At 37.1% G+C, this 22,643-nt stretch overlaps 1 protein-coding gene across 1 annotated transcript in view; it reads right to left on the bottom strand.

Annotated features, from left to right (window-relative positions):
• PTPN4 (protein tyrosine phosphatase non-receptor type 4) overlaps nucleotides 1–22,643 on the bottom strand; it is a 224,978-nt gene that overhangs the window by 9,207 nt on the left and 193,128 nt on the right. The window contains exons 20-26 of the mRNA NM_002830.4: nucleotides 20,370–20,536; nucleotides 18,759–18,849; nucleotides 18,616–18,677; nucleotides 14,740–14,886; nucleotides 12,949–13,077; nucleotides 10,048–10,196; nucleotides 7,721–7,856 (exon numbers count right to left, since the gene is read on the bottom strand). Coding sequence (NP_002821.1) covers nucleotides 7,721–7,856; nucleotides 10,048–10,196; nucleotides 12,949–13,077; nucleotides 14,740–14,886; nucleotides 18,616–18,677; nucleotides 18,759–18,849; nucleotides 20,370–20,536 — 881 coding nt within the window. The remainder of the gene's footprint in view (nucleotides 1–7,720; nucleotides 7,857–10,047; nucleotides 10,197–12,948; nucleotides 13,078–14,739; nucleotides 14,887–18,615; nucleotides 18,678–18,758; nucleotides 18,850–20,369; nucleotides 20,537–22,643) is intronic.

Genomic DNA, 22,643 nt, shown 5'->3' with positions numbered 1-22,643 from the left:
AGTTCAATGGCGCAATCTTGACTTACTGCAACCTCCTCCTCCCGGGTTCAAGAGAGTCTCCTGCCTCAGCCTCCGGAGTAGCTGGGATTACAGGCACCTGCCATCATGCCCGGCTAATTTTTGTACTTTCGCAGAGACAGGCTTTCACCATGTTGGCCAGACTGGTCTTGAACTCCTGACCTCAGGTGATCCCCACCTGCAATGGCCTCCTAAAGTGCTGAGATTACAGGCGTGAGCCACCGCACCCATCCCTGAAGGGACTTTAAAACAGTAATTTGGCTGGCCATGGTGGCTCATGCCTGTAATACCAGCACTCTCGTAGGCCAAGGTGGGAGCATCACTTGTGGCCAGGAATTCAAGACCAGCATGGGCAACACAGCAAGACCCTGTGTCTACAAAAAAAGAAAAAAAAATTGGGTGGGTGCTGTGGTGTGTGCCTGTAGTCCTAAGATACTTGGGAGGTGGAGATGGGAGGAACATTTGAGCCAAGGAGGTTGAGGCTGCGATGAGTGGTGATCACACTACTGCAAACCAGCCTGGCAACAGAGCAAGACTCTGTCTCAAAAATACTGCAAATAAACAAACAAACAAACAAACACCTCAGTAATTTGACTGCATACTGTGGGAGAATATACTCAAAGGGCAAAAAGAGCTGTGAAAAAAAGGAAAACTCTTTTCATTAGCCATACTGTTTATAGTGGTAGTGTTGTTATTCTGAAACAGTTGTGTAATGTGGAGTATTTGTGATATTCTAAGTCTTTCATTGCTAATATTGTAAAGAACCAGTATTCTTGTTAAAGATGTAAAAGAGGCTAAGTAAAAACACTGTGGTCCTGAATTTGTATTGGAAGCATAAGCATTAACCTATGATAAATGTATTTTACTGGTTGTGCCATTTATCATTTTGAGAGACAAAAATTAACCCAAGCAAATAAAAGTCCTTAGTGCTCAGAGGTTGGTGCCTAAAATAGTTTCTCAATAAAAAGAACCGGGCTTCTTGGAGAAACTACTGATTCTAAATCAGGGGCACAAGATGTACAAGCTGGGCCTGGATATATTTTCTGATAGCAACAAAGCTATCAAAGTTACCAGGGTCTTGACAAAAGGACTCAGAAGCCAAGGTGAACAGGCTCCCACTGGCCAAAAATAGGACAATCTGGATATCACTAAGAAAAATAACTACAGGCTAGGCACGGTGGATCACTCCTGTAATCCCAGCACTTTGGGAGGTCGAGGCGGGTGGATCACCTGAGGTCAGAAGTTCAAGATCAGCCTGACCAACATGGAGAAACCCCATCTCTACTAAAAACAAAATGAGCCAGGCCTGGTGGCGGGCGCCTGCAATCCCAGCTACTTGGGAGGCCGAGGCAGGAGAATTGCTTGAACCTGGGAGGCGGAGGTTGCAGTGAGCCAAGATTGCGCCATTGCACTCCAGCCTGGGCAACAAGAGCGAAACTCCATCTCAAAACAAAACAAAACAAAACAAAACAACAACAAAAACTACAATGGGCTAAAACACATCAACTATGTTTAAATCCTTGATTTCAAAATAATACCCAAATAAATTTAAGTCATCACCCTTGGAGGAAGCTAGTAAATGATTCATTATATTGAAAGCTTATAGATAAAGGGAAAGAATCAAATGTTTTTCTTGCCTTTCCTACACATGCTATACCACTTGCTAACCAAATAGTAGATATGAAGTTTCTCTTTAAAGAAGTAGTCCAGCTAATAAAGACAGAATGATAGAATTAGAATATCATTATTTTGCAAATCCAATGAATTAATGAATGCAGGGATTGATTACTCAAGGGTGCTAACTTCACAAAAAAAAGACAATCAGACATTATGTGCGTTTGAAGAAAGAATATATGACCTAAGATGCTCAAGCCATACATGTACCACTTTTAGGAAACACAGAGAACACCACCTTGAGGATGTAAATTGGCAAAATTCACGCCGTCAGAAATATGTTGCAAACAACCTGATTCGTTTATCAAGTAAATTACCAAAAAAAAAAAAAAAAAAAAAAAAAAACAAGAAATGAAGGAGGAAGCTTTCAATTAAAAGAGATTTAAGAGACATATAAACCAATCAAAATGTGTAGACTATATCTGAATTCTGATTTTAAACAAATTATAAAAACAAAACCAAAAGCCCATGTGTGCTATGATCCAGGAATTCCTCTTCTAGGTATATACCTGAAAGAAATGAAAGCAAGGTCTCAAAGAGATCTTTATACACCCATATTCTTAGCAGCATTATTCACAATAGGCAAAAGGCAAAAGCAACCCTGTCCACTGATAGATAAATGAATAAAGAAAATGTGGTATGTTCACCCTTAGAAAGGAAGGAAATTCTGACTTACGCTACAACTTGGATGAATCTTGAGGTCATTAATCTAAGTGAAATAAGCCAGTCAGAAAAAGACAAATACATGAATTTACTTACGTAAAGTATCTAGAGTAGTCAAACTCATAGGAACAGAAAGTAGAATGGTGGTTACCAAGGGCTCAGGAGAGGAGAAAATGGGGAGTTTTTTTTAATGGATATAGAGTTTTGGTTTTGCAAGAAATTGCAAATTGGTTGCAAAAAAATGTAAGTATACTTAACACTGCTAAACTGTATACTTAAAAATGGTTGAGCTGGTAAATTTTATGTTATGTGTATTTTGCCATAATTAAAATCTTTTTAAAAATCCTATTATGTAAGAATATAGATATAAGACCTCAAGAAAATGCTAGCAAATCAAATCAGGCAACATATAAAAAGCATTACATACTATGTCCAAGTGAGATTTATCTCAGGAATGCAAGGTCAATTTAACATCTAAAAATCAATGTCATATACCACCTTAATAGAATAAAAGACCAAAAACCACATGATATCTCAGATGCAGGAAAAGCACTTAACAAAACTGAACACACTTTCAGGATGAAAACACTCAATGAACAAGTAACAAAGGGATCTTCTTCTACTTGATAAAGGGCATTTATAAACAATCCATGGCTAATATGATAATTAGTGAAAATCTAAAAACTGTCCCTCTAAGATTAGGAAGAAGACAAGTGTTCTGGTCTCATCACTTCTATTCAACATTGTACTGGAGGTTCTATCCAGGATACTTATACAAGAAAGACAAAGAAAAAGGAAAGAGGCATCTAGATTGGAAAGAAGTAACATATCTATTTGCAAATGACATGATGACATGATCTTGTCAAAAGAAAATCCTAAGAAATTCACTCTCTCACACACAAAACTATTGGTTAATAAAGGAAACAATTCCATTTACAATAGCACCAAAACATACTAAAATACTGAGGAATAAATTTAAATAAACGCAAGACTTGCATGCTGAAAACTACAATTAAAATTAAAGAATACCTAAATAAACAGAAAGACCATCCTGTGTTCATGCTTTGCAAGATGTGATATCACTATTATGACAATACTTCCCAATTTGATCTAGAGATTCAACCCAATCCCTATGAACATTCTGGTTGCTGGTTTTTTTTTTATTTTTTCAGAAAGAATAAACTTATTCAAAATTCATATGAAAATGCAAGGGGCATAGAATAGCTAAATCAAGCTGGAAAATGAAAAAGAGTTACGGATTTACATTTCCTGATTTTAAATTTTACAACAAAGCTACAGTAATGATGACAGTGTAGTACTAGCATAGGAACAGAGATACAAATCAATGGAATAGAATTGGAAGTCTAGAAATAAACTCTTATATTTGTGCTCAACTGATTTTTGACAAGAGCCCTGAGACAATTCAATGGGAAAGAACAGTCATTTTAACAAATGGTGCTGGGACAAGTGGGTAACCACATGCAAAAGAGTTAAGTTGGAACCCTACCTCAAACCACACACAATAATTAGCTCAAAATGGATCAATGCTAAATGCAAGAGCTAAAACTATAAAACTTGTAGACTCATTTATGGGTTAGGTAATAATTTCTCATCTATGATACCAAAAGCATAAGTGATAAAGGAAAAACAGATAAACTAGACTTCACCAAATTCAAAACTTCTGTGCATCAACTACTATAATCAAGAAAACAGAAAGAGAAAATGGAAGCAAATATTTGCAAACCACAGATCTGATCAGAAACTTTTATCCAGAAAACATAAAAAAAATACTTACAACTCGCCAATAAAATGGCGGCCAAATTCAAAAACAGGCAAAAGATTTGAACAGTTCTCCAAAAAATATATACAAATAAATAGCTAATTATCACATGTAAAGATGCTTAACATCATTAGTGATATGGTATAGCTGTGTGTCCTCACCCAAATCTCATGTCAAATAGTAATTCCCAGTGTTGGAGGAGAGGCCTTGTGGGAGGTGACTGAATAATGGGGGCAGACCTCCCCCTTTCTGTTCTCGTGATAGAGTTCTCTACAAGACATAGTTGTCTGAAAGTATGCAGCACCTCCTGCTTCTTTCTCTGTCTCTCTCCCGCCGGCCATGTGAAGACCTGCTTGCTTCCCCTTTGCCTTCCACCATGATTGTAAGTTTCCTGAGGCCTCCCAGCCATGCTTCCTGTACAGCCTGGGGAACTGTGAGTCAATTAAGCCTCTTTTCTTTATAAATTACCCAGTCTCAAGTGTTTATTTGTAGCAGTGTGAAAACAGACTAATACAATTAGTTATCAGGGAAATGCACAACAAATTCACAGTGAGATACTACTTCATACCCAGCAGGATGGCTAAAATAAAAAAAGACAGTAACACGTGTTGATGATGATGTGAAGAAAACAAAAGCCACATACACTGCTAGAGGAACTGCAAAATGGTACAGAAATTTTGGAAACAACTGGCCGTTCCTCAAAAGGTTAAACAGAATGAAAACATGACCTGGCAATTCCACTCCTGGGTATACCCAAGATAAATGAAAACGTATGTTCACATAAAAATTCATGGCAGCATTACTCATAATAACCAAAAAGTGGATACAAACCAAATAAATGTCCATCAACAGATTAACGGATGAACAAAATGTGGTAAAAATATACACAATGAAATATTATTGAACAAGAAAAAGGAATAAAGTAATAATACATACTGCAGTACAGATAAACCTTTAAATATGCTACTTAAAAGAAGCCAGTTAGAAAAGACCAAAGTGTATGATCTCATTCATATAAAAGGTCCAGAATAGGCAACTCTACAGAGAAAGAAAGTAGATTGGTGATTGCCTAGATTGGAGGTTGGGGGTTGGGGGAGGTTAGAGAGGGTATGAGGGGAAATGGGAATAATTGTTAATGAGCTTGGGGTTTTTTGGGGTGGGGTGGTGGCAGGGAATGAAGATGTTTTAAAAATTATATAGCCGGGCCTGGTGGCTCATGCCTGTAATCCCAGCACTTTGAGAGGCCAAGGCGGGTGGATCACCTGAGGTCAGGAGTTCAAGACCAGCCTAGTCAACATGGAGAGACCCTGTGTCTACTAAAAATACAAAAATTAGCTGGGCGTGGTTGCGGGTGCCTGTAATCCCAGCTACTCGGGAGGCTGAGGCAGGAGAATCGCTTGAACCCGGAAGGCGGAGGTTGCGGCGAGCTGAGATCATGCCATTGCACTCCAGCCTGGGCAACAGGAGCGAAACTCTGTCTCAAAAAAATAAAAAATAAAATAAAAATAAAAGTTATATAGTAGCAATAGTTGCAAGCCTCTGTAATACACAAAACCCACTGAATTGTATACTTTAAGCGGCTGAATTTTATGGTATGTGAATTGTATTTTAATAAAGCTGTTATAAAATTTAAAAAGACGGTTTTTAGTAAACAACTAGAAATTTAAATACTGCCAATTTGATAATATTAACAAATTGATGGCCGGGTGTGGTGGCTCACGCCTGTAATCCCAGCACTTTGGAAGGCCAAGGCGGGTGGATCACCAAGTCAGGAGATCTAGACCATCCTGGCTAACATGGTGAAACCCCGTCTCTACTAAAAATACAAAAAATTAGCAGGGCATGGTGGCGGGTGCCTGTAGTCCCAGCTACTCAGGAGGCTGAGGCAGCAGAATGGTGTGATCCCGGGAGGCGGAGCTTGCAGTGAGCTGAGATCGCGCCACTGCACTCCAGCCTGGGCGACAAAGCGAGACTCCGTCTCAAAAAAAAAAAAAAAAAAAAAAAAGAAATTGATTACATTTCTTGATAATTGTACTGCGGTTTTATTTAAAAGGAAAATCAATCCTTATCTTTTAGAGATACACACTAAAATATGAACAAAATGATATGATATCTAGGATTTGCTTCAAATACAGGGAAAGTGAACAGCTATCCAGATGAAACAATATGGCAAATGTGGGATCTGAGTATAAACATGATATTCATTATATTGTCTATGTTTGAAATTTTCTGTAATTAAAAACCAAGCTGAGCATGGTGACTCATGCCTGTAATCCCAACACTTTGGGAGGCTGAGGTGGCAGGACAGCTTGAACCCAGGAGTTCAAGACCAGCCTAAGCAACATAGTGAGATCCCCTCTCTACAAAAAATAAAAAAAATTAGCCCAATGTGGTGGCTCATGCCTGTAGTCCCAGCTGAGGTGGGAGGATTGCTTAAGCTTGGGAGGCTGAGGCTGCAGTGAGTTATGATCACACCATTGCATACCAGCCTGGGCAACAGAGTGAGACTCTTGTCTCACAAAACAAAAACAAAAAAATTATAGGCACTTACTGGATCACATAGGTCAATTTCCTTCAAGTAACCTATTCCACCAACAATGCTATTATTTCACAGTGTCTTAATCAGTGCAAAAGATAATTTTAACACTAAAATTCCATGATTCTTCTTTTGGCTCCTGAAGCATAATTAATACTCAGTGTAGAATGCACTAAAAAGTAACTTAATTTCTGTAATTTTTGTTGTTGCAACGTAAGTTCTTTTTTTTTGAGACTGAGTCGCACTCTGTCACCCAGGCTGGAGTACAGTGGCGCAATCTCGGCTCACTGCAAGCTCCGCCTCCCGGGTTCACGCCATTCTCCTGCCTCAGCCTCCTGAGTAGCTGGGACTACAGGTGCCCACCACCATGCCCGGCTATTTTTTTTGCATTTTTAGTAGAGACGGGGTTTCACTGTGTTAGCCAGGATGGTCTCGATCTCCTGACCTCGTGATCCGCCCGCCTCGGCCTCCCAAAGTGCTGGGATTACAGGCGTGAGCTACCTACCGCGCCCGGCCGCTGCAATGCAAGTTTTTATGTAAAAAGAAAAACAATTTCACCACAGCTATTTCACAGAAAGCAGGTCTATCAAGACTCTCCAGTTCAGGGATACTATCATTCTCAGCATTCAGCTTGACTAAATAATACAAAGCAAGTTCCTCTGTGCCTGTTTAAGCACTCAAGATTTAATATGCCAGGCAACTTGCATGTTAGCAAAACTTTTTCTGTAAAAGGCCAGATATTAAATATATTTTAGAAATAGCAGTCCATATGGTACTGTTGCAACTTCTAAACTCTGCAGCTATAATATCAAAGCAGGCATAGATAAATGAGCATGGCTGTGTTCCACTAAAATTTTATTTACAAAAACAAGTGGCAGGCCAGATTTGACTAGTGGGCAGTAGTTTGCTTACCCCTGTGCTAGAGGTTATTTGACCATGGCAAGGAATTGAAAAGATAAAAAAGGATAAAAATATGATTTAGAATATGCATTGGCAACAAAAATCATCATGTTAAGAATATACACTTGTATATAAAGTACAGTACTCACAGGTGTTTGGATCATCATGGCTCGCTGATCTCTCATTGTTCTTACAATATCTAGTGGATAAACTGGCTGATTGCATTCAATGAGACACATGGCTGTTTCCATAGTAATAAGAACCCCAGTTCTTCCGATTCCAGCACTAAAAAAGACAAATATAGGCAAGATCTTACCGATACTATTCTGTTAAACTACTTGTGGCTTTTGTGCATAAAACTGAATTATAACACAGAAGAACAATATCATTTTAATATTTTAATTATAAAAGTAGTAAGCCAAATACAGAATATTTTGAAAACAGAAAAAAAATGCACTGACTCAATTACTTGTTCTGTATCTTCCATCTACCACGTTAGTTGGAAAAATACTATTTTAAAGGAGTTAAATTTAAGTTTTTAAAATCTGAACAAGGAATAGAAGCTTACTGGAGCAACTCCTTAAAATGCAAAATGATAGAATGACAATAATAAACCATCAACGAATGCACAAAAGACAACAATATTTTAAACTCAAATATATCTTTTTTTTTTTTGAGACGGAATCTCGCTCACGCCCAGGCTGGAGTGCAGTGGTGCGATCTCGGCTCACTGCAACCTCTACTTCCTGGGCTCAAGCGATTCTCCTGCCTCAGCCTCTCGAGTAGCTGGGATTACAGACGTGCACCACCACACCTGGCTAATTTTTTTTGTATTTTTAGTAGACACAGGGTTTCACCATGTTTGTCAGGCTGGTCTCGAACTCCTGACCTCAGGTGATCTGCCCGCCTCAGCCTCCCAGAATGCTGGGATTCCAGGCATGGGCCACCGCTCCCGGTCTGATTTTAAATTAAACTTTACCACTGGGATAGCCAAGAACAACTTTTTAACTTCTAATCTGTGAACACGAATGCAGTAGTTATCAGGGACTTGGGATATAAAATGGTGTTTCACCATTCTTGCTACTTTACCTCTCAAATTTTGGTCTATAATCTGTTTTGAAGATTTGAAACTCTACTCTTAAAGTGTGTTGGAAAGTCTAAGTATAAAGAGATACCTCAAGATATCCTCTGAATAAATCACTTAACAAAGGTGGCCGTAATAGGGAGGAACAACTGTCTCCTAATCTCTGGATCAGTAGCAGTAAAGACTGAAGTCACTGTATTTGGCCCTTTGAGGGCAGAAGGGGACTTGGGTCTCAAAGAAAGAAAGAGTAGCCTGCTGTTTACTTAAAGCTTTTAGAAGTAGCAAAGCCTTTGGTAGGGTCACTTCAAGAGAGGTAGGAGTACTCAATGAATGTCCTAAGAGGAGCCACAGGCAAGGAAGAAGGAAGGGAATCTAAATATTAGGCTGTAACCTAATGCCTAAGCTGTTGTCTGAATGTGTCCCATAAAATTCCTATGTTAAAACTTAATCACCAATGTGATAATATTAGGAGGTGGAACCGGTGAGGCGCGGTGGCTCACACCTGTAATCCCAACACTTTGTGAGGCCGAAGTAGGTGGATCCCTTGAGCCCAGGAGTTCGAGACCAGCCTGGGCAACGTGGCAAAAACCCATCTTTACAAAAAAATACAAAAATTAGCCAGGCTTGGTGGTACACCTGTACCTCTAGCTACTCCGGGGGCTGAGGCAGGAGGATCACTTGAGCCTGGGAGGCAGAGGTTACAGTGAGCTGTGATCATGCCATTGCACTCCAGCCTGTGTGACAGTATGAGACTCCGACTGAAAAAAAAGAAAAGGTGGGACCTTTTGGAGGTGATTAAGTCATGAGGGCTGATGGGATTAAAGCGCTTATATAAAAGGACTTCAGAGAGTGGGTTCACCCCTTCTGTCCCTTCTAGCATGTGGGGAAACAGTATTCATCCCGTCCAGAGAATGACACAACAAAGTGCCATAATGGAAGCAGAGAGCAGTCCTCATTAGACCCTCATGAGAACCTGTGTGTACCCTGATCTTGAACTTCCCAGCATCCAGAAGTATAAGAAATACATTTCTGTTCCTTTTAAATTACCCAGTCTCGAATATTTTGTTACATAGCACAAATGGACTAAGACAGCCCACAGTACTGTACTTCATCAAATCTATTGTAAATTGTTAAGACCAATTTCAGAGGTGTTAAAATATGAAAAGGAGGAGCATCTAAGAATCAGTGCAATCAGTATTATTTTTATATCTTATGATAAAGTTACTGCCAATCATATGTTAGAACATATCCTTTGCCTCCTACCTTCAGAGCATAGCTTTGAGTTCTAATTATTACAGTGACAATAACACCATAAGGACAAAATATGTACTCTCTTTTAAAAATGACGTATCTGTTCAGCTATACACTCATAAAAGACGGAAAACAGAGTACCTGCAATGGACAACAACGGGTTCTTCCTTGCCAGCCCTCTTGTTTCGTACATGACAAACAAAATCTAGAAAGTCACTCGAATCATCAGGGACTCCATGGTCAGGCCAGGCTATGTACTGGATCTGAGTGAGTGGACGACTTTCATTTTTCTAAGAACAAATGAAAAATTATGCACCTTGACTTATGTATTATTGAAATTGTCCCTACAAACCTCATAAAATTCATCAGGAAAGAAGGGAGGGGGAGATAGAAAACTAAACACAGCTTGCAGCACACTTAGCATTGATCACTAGGTCAGCTGCTCTCTGACCCGCGTCCTCATAGTTGGTTGGTGCCTGTTGCCTCAGAATCCCACAGACCCATTACAAGATTATAGTTCCCCTTAACTGCTCTACAGATAACAACTTGGGACATTATGAAATGTTAGATTTCCCCTTTGAGACATTCTTTTGGGTCCTGCATACTGATGAAACTACTGACTCAGTTGGTCTAAAGGACCCTGAGGTAAGCTAACTCACCAAAGAATGCACCTCCTGATGATTTCATCCACCTTATCCCAACCAATCAACGATCTTAACTTCCCAGCCCCTTGCTCTCCACCATCCCCTTAAAAACCCCATCCCAGATCTCATCTCCTTGGGGAGATGATTTGAGGGTCTCCTCCCATCTCCTTGCTCGGTACCCTGCGATCATTAAACTCTTTATCTGCTGCATCCCTGCTGTCTCAGTGTATTCGTCTGTTATTGCACAGCAGGAATATGAACCTGTTGGTACTATGACATTATCTTTAAAATATATTCATGTCATTGGAATTTTAGAAGGAAAGCAAAACCAACCACTCCTCTTCTCCACCAAAAGTTATGTATAAACTCATTAAAATGCAAAATTTCAACAAAAAGGAAAGAAACTATTTTACAGAAATAGTTGTATCCATTTAAGTATGGCTAATTACATTACTACTCTTTTTATAACTCAATTTCTATATGTGTAAAGTATTTTAAAGATGATAATCAAGTACATAGGTAGAAACAAATTAAGACCCAGAGAAATGCTTAAAAAAAACTAATGAATTCTTGGGTGAGCAAAAATGGTAAAGTAAAAAACATTTTTTGTGAACAAAGCTGACCTAATCCTCACACAATGCAGATGAAATTATGGAAATCAGAAAAATAAAATCTCAAGATAAATGTATATTAAAAATTGGAGTTAATAAAAACACAAAGTCAAATCAGTGGGATTAATTCTTTTTGGAGAGCCAAGGTTGGTATAACGGAGACAGTAAGAGTATTGCGTTTAGATACATCTTGGTTCAAATCTTGACTCTGCCAGTTACAGCATTCAGTGTTTCAGAAAATAATTTCCTTCAACTGAAAAATGAAATAACATCTATACTTTAAAGGATCAGTCTTATGCTAAAAAGACTCCATGAGAGGACCTGTAAATCACCCCATCAGCTACTTGGCACCATATACTCAATAAATGGTTGCTATAGTCATTCAACACTATAATTATAACTATGGTTATTGCCATTTACACTGAAGAGAGCTTCCTGAAGAGTAAAAGTAAAAGGTATTCAAGACTTGAGGTAGTATCTGCTATCATTAATCCATCCATGTATGTATGTATTTATGGGAGCGAACTCATTTTCCCAATTATGTTTGGCTCAAACTTTAGAAACTAACTCATGTCTTAGTTCTAATGTACTCAGGGTGTGTAAAGAAAAGCCACTATGGTATATAAAACTGTCATGGATAATCTACAGGTGGAGTATAATAGAGACTATGCTAAAGATAGACATTATTTTATATAAACATACGTAGCCTATCTTTCATTATCTATTTGAGAAAATGAAGAAATATCATATTGGCTTGACCTGTTACATTAGACCATGAGCTACACAGTATATGTCCCCAAACCCTAAATTCATTCTGATGGACTCTAGCCCATAAAATTTTGAAATTTTAAAATTCTTGTCATTTTAGCTTTATTCAATGCCAGATTCCTTTTCTATAAATCAGCACAACTTCTGGCTTCTTCCCTTTTCGTCAGTAAGACTCTGTCTCTCTGGTTTCCTTTAATCATGCTCTTGGGGTTGGAGGGGAGTTCTCATTTCCAAAGGCTTGACCATTGATGGGATAGTCCTGGGCACTCATAGCTTGGGCTATTTGCTCTTCTCTAGCAGTTATTCTTTTAGTCCCTTTCAAAACCAAAGATGGTGGCAGGGGGATAGCTAGCTGCAGGCAGAGAAAGTAGGGTGCACTGTCTCTAGCAGCCTGACAGAACTGGCAGCATGACGCTCTCTACATACATCTTCCAATTGGGATACTGAGCCATCATTTATTAATCAGTTTCATTTGAAGCCAAGAGGACTGACTCAGGCAAAATTAAGAGCTGGCAATTAGAAATCTACACCCCATCTGCTGTCAGAAGGTCCTGGTTACAACCTTTTCCTTCTTAATAGGTAGGGGACTGTGAAGTTGCTCTCCTCTACTCTTTTAAAAAAGGAAAATAATTTAATAGCTTTCAATTGTTTTTTCCATTTCCACAGACACACCCAAATACTGTACTGATACTACTTGGAGTAAAAGTTTTTTTTATAATGAAACATATCTAAACAGTTGTTCTGAATAAGCAAAGTAGTAACAGTAGTATTATTTACCAGACTACTTTTTCACTGACCATTCATATTTAGTCATAGAAACTAAAGAAAAACATTAATTTTATAATAGAATAGGATAATACTCTTAATAAAATTCCAAAGTACCCCATTAAAGCAGATAAATAATTCAATAATTCTTATAGTATTTCCTAGCAACCAATACTCAAACTAAAAACATTTTCAGCTTTCAGTCTTTACCCTGAACACAACAGTTCTAATGAACAGATATCCTGCCTTCTTACCTCTTGGTTAAATAGGGTCATCTTCCTGAAGATATAGGCAGTGTTTCCTTCTTCAGAGTGGCAGGTAACTTGGTAGCATCCATAAGATGAACTGCCTGTGGGTTCTGGCCAATATTGGTGACATTTAACCTGATATTGATATAAATAAATAATAAATAAAATTATATACATATGGATTCATGTTCTCCAATTTTTAAAAATGTTTTTTTAATAAATTTCAAACATATAAAAGTTACAAGAAAAATTTAATAAATTTCATCTCGATCTGCTGACTAGTGTTTTTTTTTTTTGCGATGGAGTTTTGCTCTTGTTGCCCAGGCTAGAGTGCAATAGCACGATCTTGGCTCACTGCAACCTCTGCCTCCTGGGTTCAAGCGATTCTCCTGCCTCAGCCTCCCAAGTAGCTGGGATTACAGGCATGTGCCACCAAGCCTGGCTAATTTTGTATTTTTAGTAGAGACGGGGTTTCACCATATTGGTCAGGCTGGTCTCGAACTCCTGACCTCAGGTGATCCACCTGCCTCCGTCTCCCAAAGTGCTGGGATTACAGGTGTGAGCCACTGCGCCCAGCCGACATTTTTTCTTTGTCACTTTTTTCCCTTTTTAATAGTAAGTAATCTGGCTATATTTTGAGGCAGCAAAAATCCTCATTAAATCTTAAGATTTTTTAAAACAGCTGTAATGACAAGTAATTCATGTACCATACCGTTCACTCGTTTAATGTATACAATAGTTTTCAGTATATTCACAGAACTGTGCAACCATCACCACAATCCCTTTTAGAACATTCCCATTACACCCAAAATAAACCCTATACCAATTAGTAGTCATTGTTCATTCTTCCTCATCCGTTCCCCCATCCTTACCCCAGATCTAGACCACCACTGATCTACTTCATGTCTCTACAGAGTTGCCTATCCTGGACATTTCATATAAATGCAATCATACACTATGTGGTCTTTTTGACCTCTTTCACTATGCTAAGTGTTTTCCAGGTTTACCCATGCTGTAGTATGTATCACTACTTCGTTCCTTTTTATTGCCAAATAATATCCAACCATAAGACTATACCACATTTTATTTGTATATTTGAGTTGTTTCTACATTTTGGCCATTATAAATAATGCTGTTATGAATGCTCATGTACAAATTTTTGTGTGGACAGACCTTTTCAACTCTTTTGGATTTAGGAATGGAAGTACTAAGTTATACCAACTCGACGTTTAACTCTTTGAGGAACTACAAGACTGTTTTCCAAAATGGCTGGATGGTTTTACAAACCCACAATAGGAGGGTTCTGTTTTTTCCATATCATCCCTAGAACTTGTTTTTATACGTCCTTTTTATTTTGGCCATCCTCTAGGATATAAAGTCTCATTAAGGTTTTGATCTGCATCTCCCTGATAATGATGTTGAGCACCTTTTCGTGTGCTTCTTAGCCATTTGTATATCTTCTTTGGAGAACTGTCTATTCAGATCCATTGCCCATTTTTAAATTGCATTATTTATTTTACTGTAGAGTTCTGTATATACGTTAGACACAAGACCCTTAACAAATGTATATTAATCCCTTTAAATAACAATGACAGTAATGGCTAACACTTATGTCACATTTATTTATGTGTTAGTCACAGTTTTATGCACTTAAACATGATGATTTAAAACAAGAAACCACAAGAAAAGAAGATTAAAGGTTACAAAGGCTTAAATAAATATGAATATTTTGACTACATATGTGCAGTATAATTTGAAAAAAGTCCAAGCAATGTGTAAGATTCAACTATGACTTACTCTGCCACGTTCAACTTGTGTGGTCAACATTACAACCATAGAGGAGCCTTGTTCCCAAGTCATCTGCCAAAAATCTGTACAAGTGTGTGGTAATGGCCCTTGACAAGCAATGTACTGATTTATAATGCTGGAAGAAGGAATTTCCATCTAAAAAGAAAAGGGCATGAAAATAAAATGTTTTGCATTACTTTTTACAGTAATCAGGAATAGGAAAATCATCCACTAACTGTTATAGTGAATACAACTAACCTCAATAAACTGCCGTCAGTAAAACAAATCTTTATTAACAATTTCTTATTTTATCTGTAGAAGAAATTTCATGGCAATGTTCAACAGTTACATGTATTTATCTTTTAATTAGTGGAAATAAGAATTTAAATATTTTCCTGGGCTCAAGCAATCCTCCTGCTTTGGCCTCCCAAAGTGCTGAGATTACAGGTGTGAGCCACACCCGGCCGATTATGATTTTTAAAAGCAGCTTAACACAGAATTTTGTTTCAGAGGCAGAGACTTGGTAAAGAAATAAAAAATACTTATCTGTAAATAGTTTATTGGTAAAATTTGTGAGGAACAAAAATTCTGCCATTGGTTTTAGCTTGAATTTTTACATATAAAGTAACTTTAGAGGGTATCAGAATATTTTAAATTCATAATTTTCAGAAAGAGGTAAGATAGTATTTGGGAAAGTTGAGTCATCAGTCATTATCCTACTACATTTTGAGATTAAATTTTTTTTAAAAAGGTGATATATGCACATGACAATTCAAAGAATAACAAAGAGTGAATAAAGAAAGTCTCTTCTCCCATTTCAGCTTCTAGTTTGCAGCCAGGAAGGTAATCTTTTTCTGTTTGTCATATAGCCTTCTCAGGGATATTCTATATACAACATATAAACATATATGCAACTTCCCACTTTTCTGTAAAACTGTTGCTTAAAAATGGTAGTATACTATATATATAATGTTGTTCTGCTTGTCTTTTTTACTTCATCTTCAAGATGATGTTTGATGAGTAAATAAAATTTCATTCTTTTAAATGGCTCTACTGTATAAATATACAAGAAAATATTTAATGCAGATTTAAGGCCCTCATGTTTTTTATTTCTGTAAACTTGCCCCAACCTGTGCTCATTTGACAGCAAAATCTGACCTGAACTGACCTAAGACTATTTGCACTCTTTATTAGTCTTACTTAGGGAGAATATCTATAGTTTGCTGTTAACTATTCAGATATATTGATTATGGAGCACTTGTCCCATAGCCTGCCAGCGATGCTACTTATTATAGTATATGTACTAAATACCCTTTCAAAATTCCAAAAATTCGGAATCCCAAAGCATATTTTTCTACACCCTCCCACTCACTGCCCCTTTATGTGGAGAATGAGGTCTTCCTAATGTTGCCTAGGCAGGTCTCAAACTCCTGGGCTGAAGCTATCCTCCAGCTTATGCCTCTCTTTAGTGCTGGGATTACAGGAATGCGCTACTGCGCCTGGCCCCATAGTATATTTAACCTAAGGTTTCACATAAAGGATGTGGACCTACATGTAGTATTACCAAACTTTTGCTCTTTCAATCTCAGGTGAAATAGTAATTCCTTGAAGTTTTCATTTGCACTTTTCTTTTTGTAAACTGCACGTATTTTTCATTTAACTCTGATATTATTTTTCTAAGTGTTAAAATAGTATTGTGGTTTTGCTACCAAAAAAAAAAAGGCCTTATCAGAGATATATTCCTAAGTAGCTAATCCTCCATCAAGGATTCTCTATTTGCAAATTTGACTACTTGCTAAAATTTATTCATAACCCTCAAAACAGCTGCAGGGATTTCTTGGTCATCTAGTAGACATACTTAGAGCAGTGAAAAATTTGAGTCATCTGAAGACATGCACATTTCCAGGTGAGATCAAACAAACCAACTCATTTTGTTTTAGCTCTCATACTGTAAACAAGTGGCCTTTTTGCATTCTATGTAGTGCCTTACTTTTTACCTTTTGGGTTTTTTTACTGGTGATTTTGCTGTTTAAAACTGACCCCCAAGTGTAGTTTTAAAGTGCTGACTAGTGTTTCTAAGTGCAAGAAGGATGTGATATACCTCATGGAGAAAATATGTGTGTTAGATAAGCTTCCTTGAGGCATGAGTTATAGTGCTGTTGACTATGAGTTAAATGTTAATGAATCAGCACTATATATTAAATAAAGTGTCTTTAAACAGAAACAACAGTATGTATTGATCAGCTAATTAAAATGTTGTGACTTTTGGCCTGGGGGAACCTAACCCTGTATTTTCCCTAGAAGCAATGATTAAATAGTCTCTAATTTAGCATGTACAAAGACTTTCTAGAGCATGACAACATCGAATGGTGAGAATTAACTCAACTGACATATACAGTGATATATTTGGGCTTAAAAATAATTTGGAGGTTAGTATTTAGCTAAGATTGGCCACTAGTTGATAGCTCTTGAAACTGCGTAAGAGGTATGGGGGGACTCTTTTATACTATTCTCTCTACTTTTGTATAAATTTAAAAATGACTATTAAAAATGTCATTTGCATAATTTCCTTTTCTATGAATTGTCTTTGCATGTCCTTCATCCATTATTTTCATTGTTCTTTTTTTTTTTTTTAGACGGGTCTTGTTCTGTCACCCAGTGACAGTCATGTGATCATGGCTCACTGCAGCCTCAACCTCTCAGGCTCAAGCAATTCTCCCACCTCAGTCTCCTGAGTAGCTGGGACAACAGGCATGCACCACCATGACTGCTAATTTTTATATTTTTATATTTTTATTTTTATTCGAGAAATGGGGTCTCAATATGTTGCCGAGGCTTACTTTTCTTATTCATTTATGAAGCTCTTTGTATATTAAATAAGCTTTTTCTAGTATTTAAAAAATTCCATTTGTCATTTGATTTTAGTAGTTTTTAAGCATACCAAAAATAACAAATTTTACCTTGTCAAATTCATCTCTTTAAGCTTAGACATGTATCTAAGCTTAAAAAACCTCCCCTTGAGATTTTAAACAATTTTCACATATTTCCTTCAAATAATTTCATAATTCCACTTTAAAAATTACATTTTGATATATTTGAAATACATGTTGGCATCAAGAGTGAGTAGAGGTAAAGTATTTATAGATGAACGATATGATATAAAGATCTGCTTCAAAAGAACCTGGTAAAGGTGAAACCAAGTTTGTCATCAGTTGACAAGTGCTGAAACTGAGTGATGTGTACATGAAGGTTGATTTTACGGTTTGCTTTAATTTTGTACATTTGAAATTTTCTAATTACAGAGTTAAGAAAAAAATAGTAATTTTTTTTTCCAGGTAAGAAAAAAAAATGCCTCTTTACAATGACGTATTCTAGACTAGTGGTCCCCAACCTTTTTGGCACCAGGGACTGGTTTCTTGGAAGACAATTTTTCCATGGAGTGGGGTTGGGAGGGTGGGAGGTGGGGATGGTTACAGGATGAAACTGTTCCACCACAGATCATCAGGCATTAGATTTTCATAATGAGCATGCAACCTAGACAATTACTGGTCCATGGCCCAGGGGTTGGGGGCTCCTGTTCTAGACAGTTGACCCAACCACCCATTCACTGGATAGTCTATCTCCAATGATCTAAAAGGCCACCTCTACCATAAACAAAATTCTAGTATCTAAGTCTATTTATGAACTGGACTATTCCATTCCACTGCTCTACCTGTATTAATACACAAGTACCAAAATATTTTCTTTAATATTACTTCAATAATATTTTTCATAGCTGAAAGTTTTAATATTCTATCCAGGTCAGGATTTTAACAAAAAGAACCTCAAAGTTCATAGTGGCTCGTATTTTTCCAAATGGCAAAGGCATAATAAGAATAAACTTACATTTATATAGTTCGCATTGATGTAGTCTTCATTACCTTTTAAAATGACCCGTGTGGCATCATCTAAAAAAATTTAAAAGAAATAATGTTTTAGTAAAGTTATGTTTAAAAGATTAAATTTAACAGAGACAATAAGATACTTACAAGGCGAAATATCTCTGTATCTATTTTTGGAAATATTCTGAGGTAATTTGGCACAGGACATTGTCATTCCAGGTTTTTTCCGATACAGTTGCTAAAAAAAAAAAAAAAAGGTACAATTCCAACAAAAGCCATAAACAATTTCTCTTTTGTTTACCAGACTTGTTTCTACACTAACAGGAAACAGGTTTCTTTGCCTTTGAATAGGTCATCTATACAATGATATACCATAGTCTAGTAGAGTACTGAACCAGATTTGCAAAGCTGAATTCTTCAGTTTCTAACATAAATTATGTGTCATATTTTGAAAAGTGGTAAAACTAGTGAAACCAATTCTGCTTACAGCAGGAGCACCTGAAGTTGTGAGTAGCAAATCTGCAGAAAACATTTAACTTTCATTTAGTTTGGAGGTGTTTACAGTCTATGAACTAAGAACTTTTGAACAAAAACAGACATATCCTAAATGTTTTATAGTTAAACACTTACCTATAACATATATGTCAGAACAACAAATATTAATGATGGTCATTTCTAAAAACACATTAAAAACTATCCAGGGAGCCTAGCATGGCTGTGCATGCCTGTAATTCCAGCTACTTGAGAGGCTGAGGCTGGAGGATTGTTTGGACATAGGAATTTGAGATCAGCCTAGGCAACATAGTGAGAGGCCGCTTCTCAAAAAAAAAAAAAAAAAAAAAAATTCAGGTTTATTAATTTAAACAAATTAGGTTGATATAGTCTGAATAAAACATTTCAAAATCCACTGGGTGATCGTGGGTCAAAATGCACATTATAAGCACTGAAGAAGCATTCTAGTTCATTGGATATAATGATCTGTCTGAAAGTTTTGGTTTTTCCAGTTTTCAAGATTGCACCAATGAAAAATAAACAAAGATTAAATGACAAGGTATAAACTTCAAAAATAAAAGTTATTTTCCTTTAGCTCAGGATTTTATTTATTTATTTATTTATTTATTTATTTATTTATTTATTATTTTTTTGAGATGGAGTCTCACTCTGTCGCCCAGGCTGGAGTGCAGTGGCGCGATCTCAGCTCACTGCAAGCTCTGCCTCCCAGGTTCACGCCATTCTCCTGCCTCAGCCTCCTGAGTAGCTGGGACTACAGGCACCTGCCACCACACCCGGCTAATTTTTTGTATTTTTAGTAGAGACGGGGTTTCACCGTGTTGGCCAGGATTGTCTTGATCTCCTGACCTTGTGATCCGCCCGCCTCGGCCTCCCAAAGTGCTGGGATTACAGGCGTGAGCCACCACACCTGGCCAAGCTCAGGATTTTAAAGTATATAATAGCCTATCTTCATCTGCCACCTTTCAAAAAAACAGCTATTTAACTATAGAAAAAAATTTAGTTTGATGACATATGTATAAAATTTCCTTATCCCTCTTTTTAAAACATATTCTATTTATATAACCATAGCTAGTATTTTGGGAGCAATTTTTAAAACTTGGCATTTTAGAACTCTTTATGTCAAACATTTCTCAGAATATCATTTTAGTTTAGAAATTATAATGCACAGATTAGGCACTTAAGAAACTATGAAACTAGTTAGCAAATATCAGCAAAATGCTTTTAATATATAATGATATTACTTACATCAAACTGTGTCAGGACTGTTCCAGTGATAAGCCCCTCAGCTAGCTGGATCATTGACTCCCGCAGGGAATGGTCATCCTGATGCACACTATCTAGTGGGGCTTTCTCAGGAATATACTGGAAATCTGGCTCATTTTCTAGCTTTTCTTCCACTACATCATATACAGCTAAAAAAAAAAAATCAAACAAACCCCAAAACGTGGAAATCTTAATGAATTCACACGATAGGAATTTACCAGATACACTGTATAATGTTTTGTTCAAAAAATAATTCATTTGTGAAGAATTACACCAGATCTGAGTCTGGTGTCACTATGGGGGGACAGAAACTAGTTGTGGAGTTGAGGGGCTTTGCTGTACCTTTGGAGGGAAGAAGTGTTCTTGGCTACATTGCTGAAAATGTCTATAACTTGAAGAGACAGTAAGAAAGAAGAGCTGCTGAGAAGCAGCTGTGAATACACCCGCTCTTAATTTGTAGGGGACCTAGGGCAAGAGTACAAATAGAGACCTATATACCATATGTTTAACTATGAGAAGTTACAAAAAACTTGAACACAGTGCTAAACAAAATATGCTTCATCCTCTTTCTGTGATGTATCTACAAAACAACCTGGGAGGCCAGACTATAAATGAGAATTCTAGGCCAGAATTCATGGTCATGGTAATGTGAGGAGATTCAGACCCTAGATCCTAGGCCTGTATTCTACCGTTACCCACTCTCAGTCCCATTTTTTAACATAGGGGCTTATAAACATACATGTGAAGATCCCAGCCCACATGCAAGATATATCTATACCTGTCCCTCCACAAACTGTAGCCTCTTAGCCACCTTCTGGGCTAGGATACACACACCATGTGAACCCACCTTGAGAGAACGGATGTGTGGAAAATACCCATGAAGATCTGGAGAGGCTCAGGGTTATCTGGACCCAGAACTGAGGTTTGAAAAAAAGTGGTATAGAAAGGGAAGGGAGGTTACAGCTTGGCATGTCCTTTTGGTCCTATAAAATTATGACTCCACTGGGAGAAGAAAGAGAGCCAAAGCAGGGCCTTCTAAAACATGGAGCCAAGGTAGGGGCCTCTTTACCCTTGCCTAAGAGATCTGGTTCCTCCTTGAATATCTATACATTTTTTTAGAAAAATAAATTTCTGAAATGAAGAATGAAAAGACAAAAAGGTATGACAACATTTTGCCTAAGAAGAAATAAGAATTAAAGGAGAAAAGATCAGAAAAACAAAAATATATTCTTGGCAAACACAGTTTTAAATTTTAATTATATGAAACTTTAAGAATGGAAAAGACAGACCCACACTGAAAACAGATGCAGGTTCTGCTCCGTATTTTGACTATGAAACAATTTAGAAAGATATTTTGCAAGAAGTAGACCCTGGTGGGTTCCTCTCATACTATAAAGCAAAAGGATGAGATCTGGAATTGTAAAAAGGCTGGGTCTTTGCCATCATATGGATTTTTGTTCATATTCTGGCTCTGTGGCGTCATGAATCTGTGAGCAGGTAACTGAATGTCTTGGTGTCAAAGTATCTTCAGCTCTAGAATGGGGATAATTCATCAATCTCATTGGATGTCTATGAGGATTAAATGAAAATATACAAAAGAGCCTAGGTGCACAGAAAGTTTTTAATAACTATTAGCTAATATTATTGAGTTCTTTAGGATCTATTATCAAGAGAAAATATAATACAATAAATACAGAAAAAAATGTTATTCCTGGTTTAAAATTTAAGTAGCTGTATGTGACAGAAAACACCTAATGACTCACCTAAGTATCAAGTCTAAATGAACAAGTTCCTTGAAAAGTCAAAATAGAATGTTCTGTTGAAGTCCTTTTAATCTTCCTAGAAAGCCAATTCTAGACCATTAATGGAAAAGAACACAAAGTGGAGAAGATAAAATGAAAACGCCTATTTGTGAACAAGAGGTACAAAGAGGATTTTTTATTTTTTGTTTACAAAAAAGAAATATCCTTGCAAAATTTTGCAGGGTTGGGTGTGGTGGTGACAAGTAGAATTCGAATGATATTTCACTTTCCTATGGTACATATTCAAGTGGTAATATGGCATTAACAATAATTATTCTGTGGCTAAAATAATGATTAATAGTAAATTGTATAGAACAAAACCAGAAGAATATGTCTAATCCTGGGATATTAGACATATAAAACTTTTTTCTTAGAGCAGACTGATAAAGTGTTGAGGGAACTCTAAACAATGCCATATGAACACTGGCTGAAGACTCTAGGACTCTTAAACTGG

This window comes from Homo sapiens, chromosome 2 (genome assembly GCF_000001405.40).
Source record: "Homo sapiens chromosome 2, GRCh38.p14 Primary Assembly".
Lineage (NCBI taxonomy): Eukaryota > Metazoa > Chordata > Mammalia > Primates > Hominidae > Homo > Homo sapiens.
The sequence above is the reverse complement of the archived record's forward strand: the minus strand, read 5'-3'. Positions and strand labels throughout refer to the sequence as shown.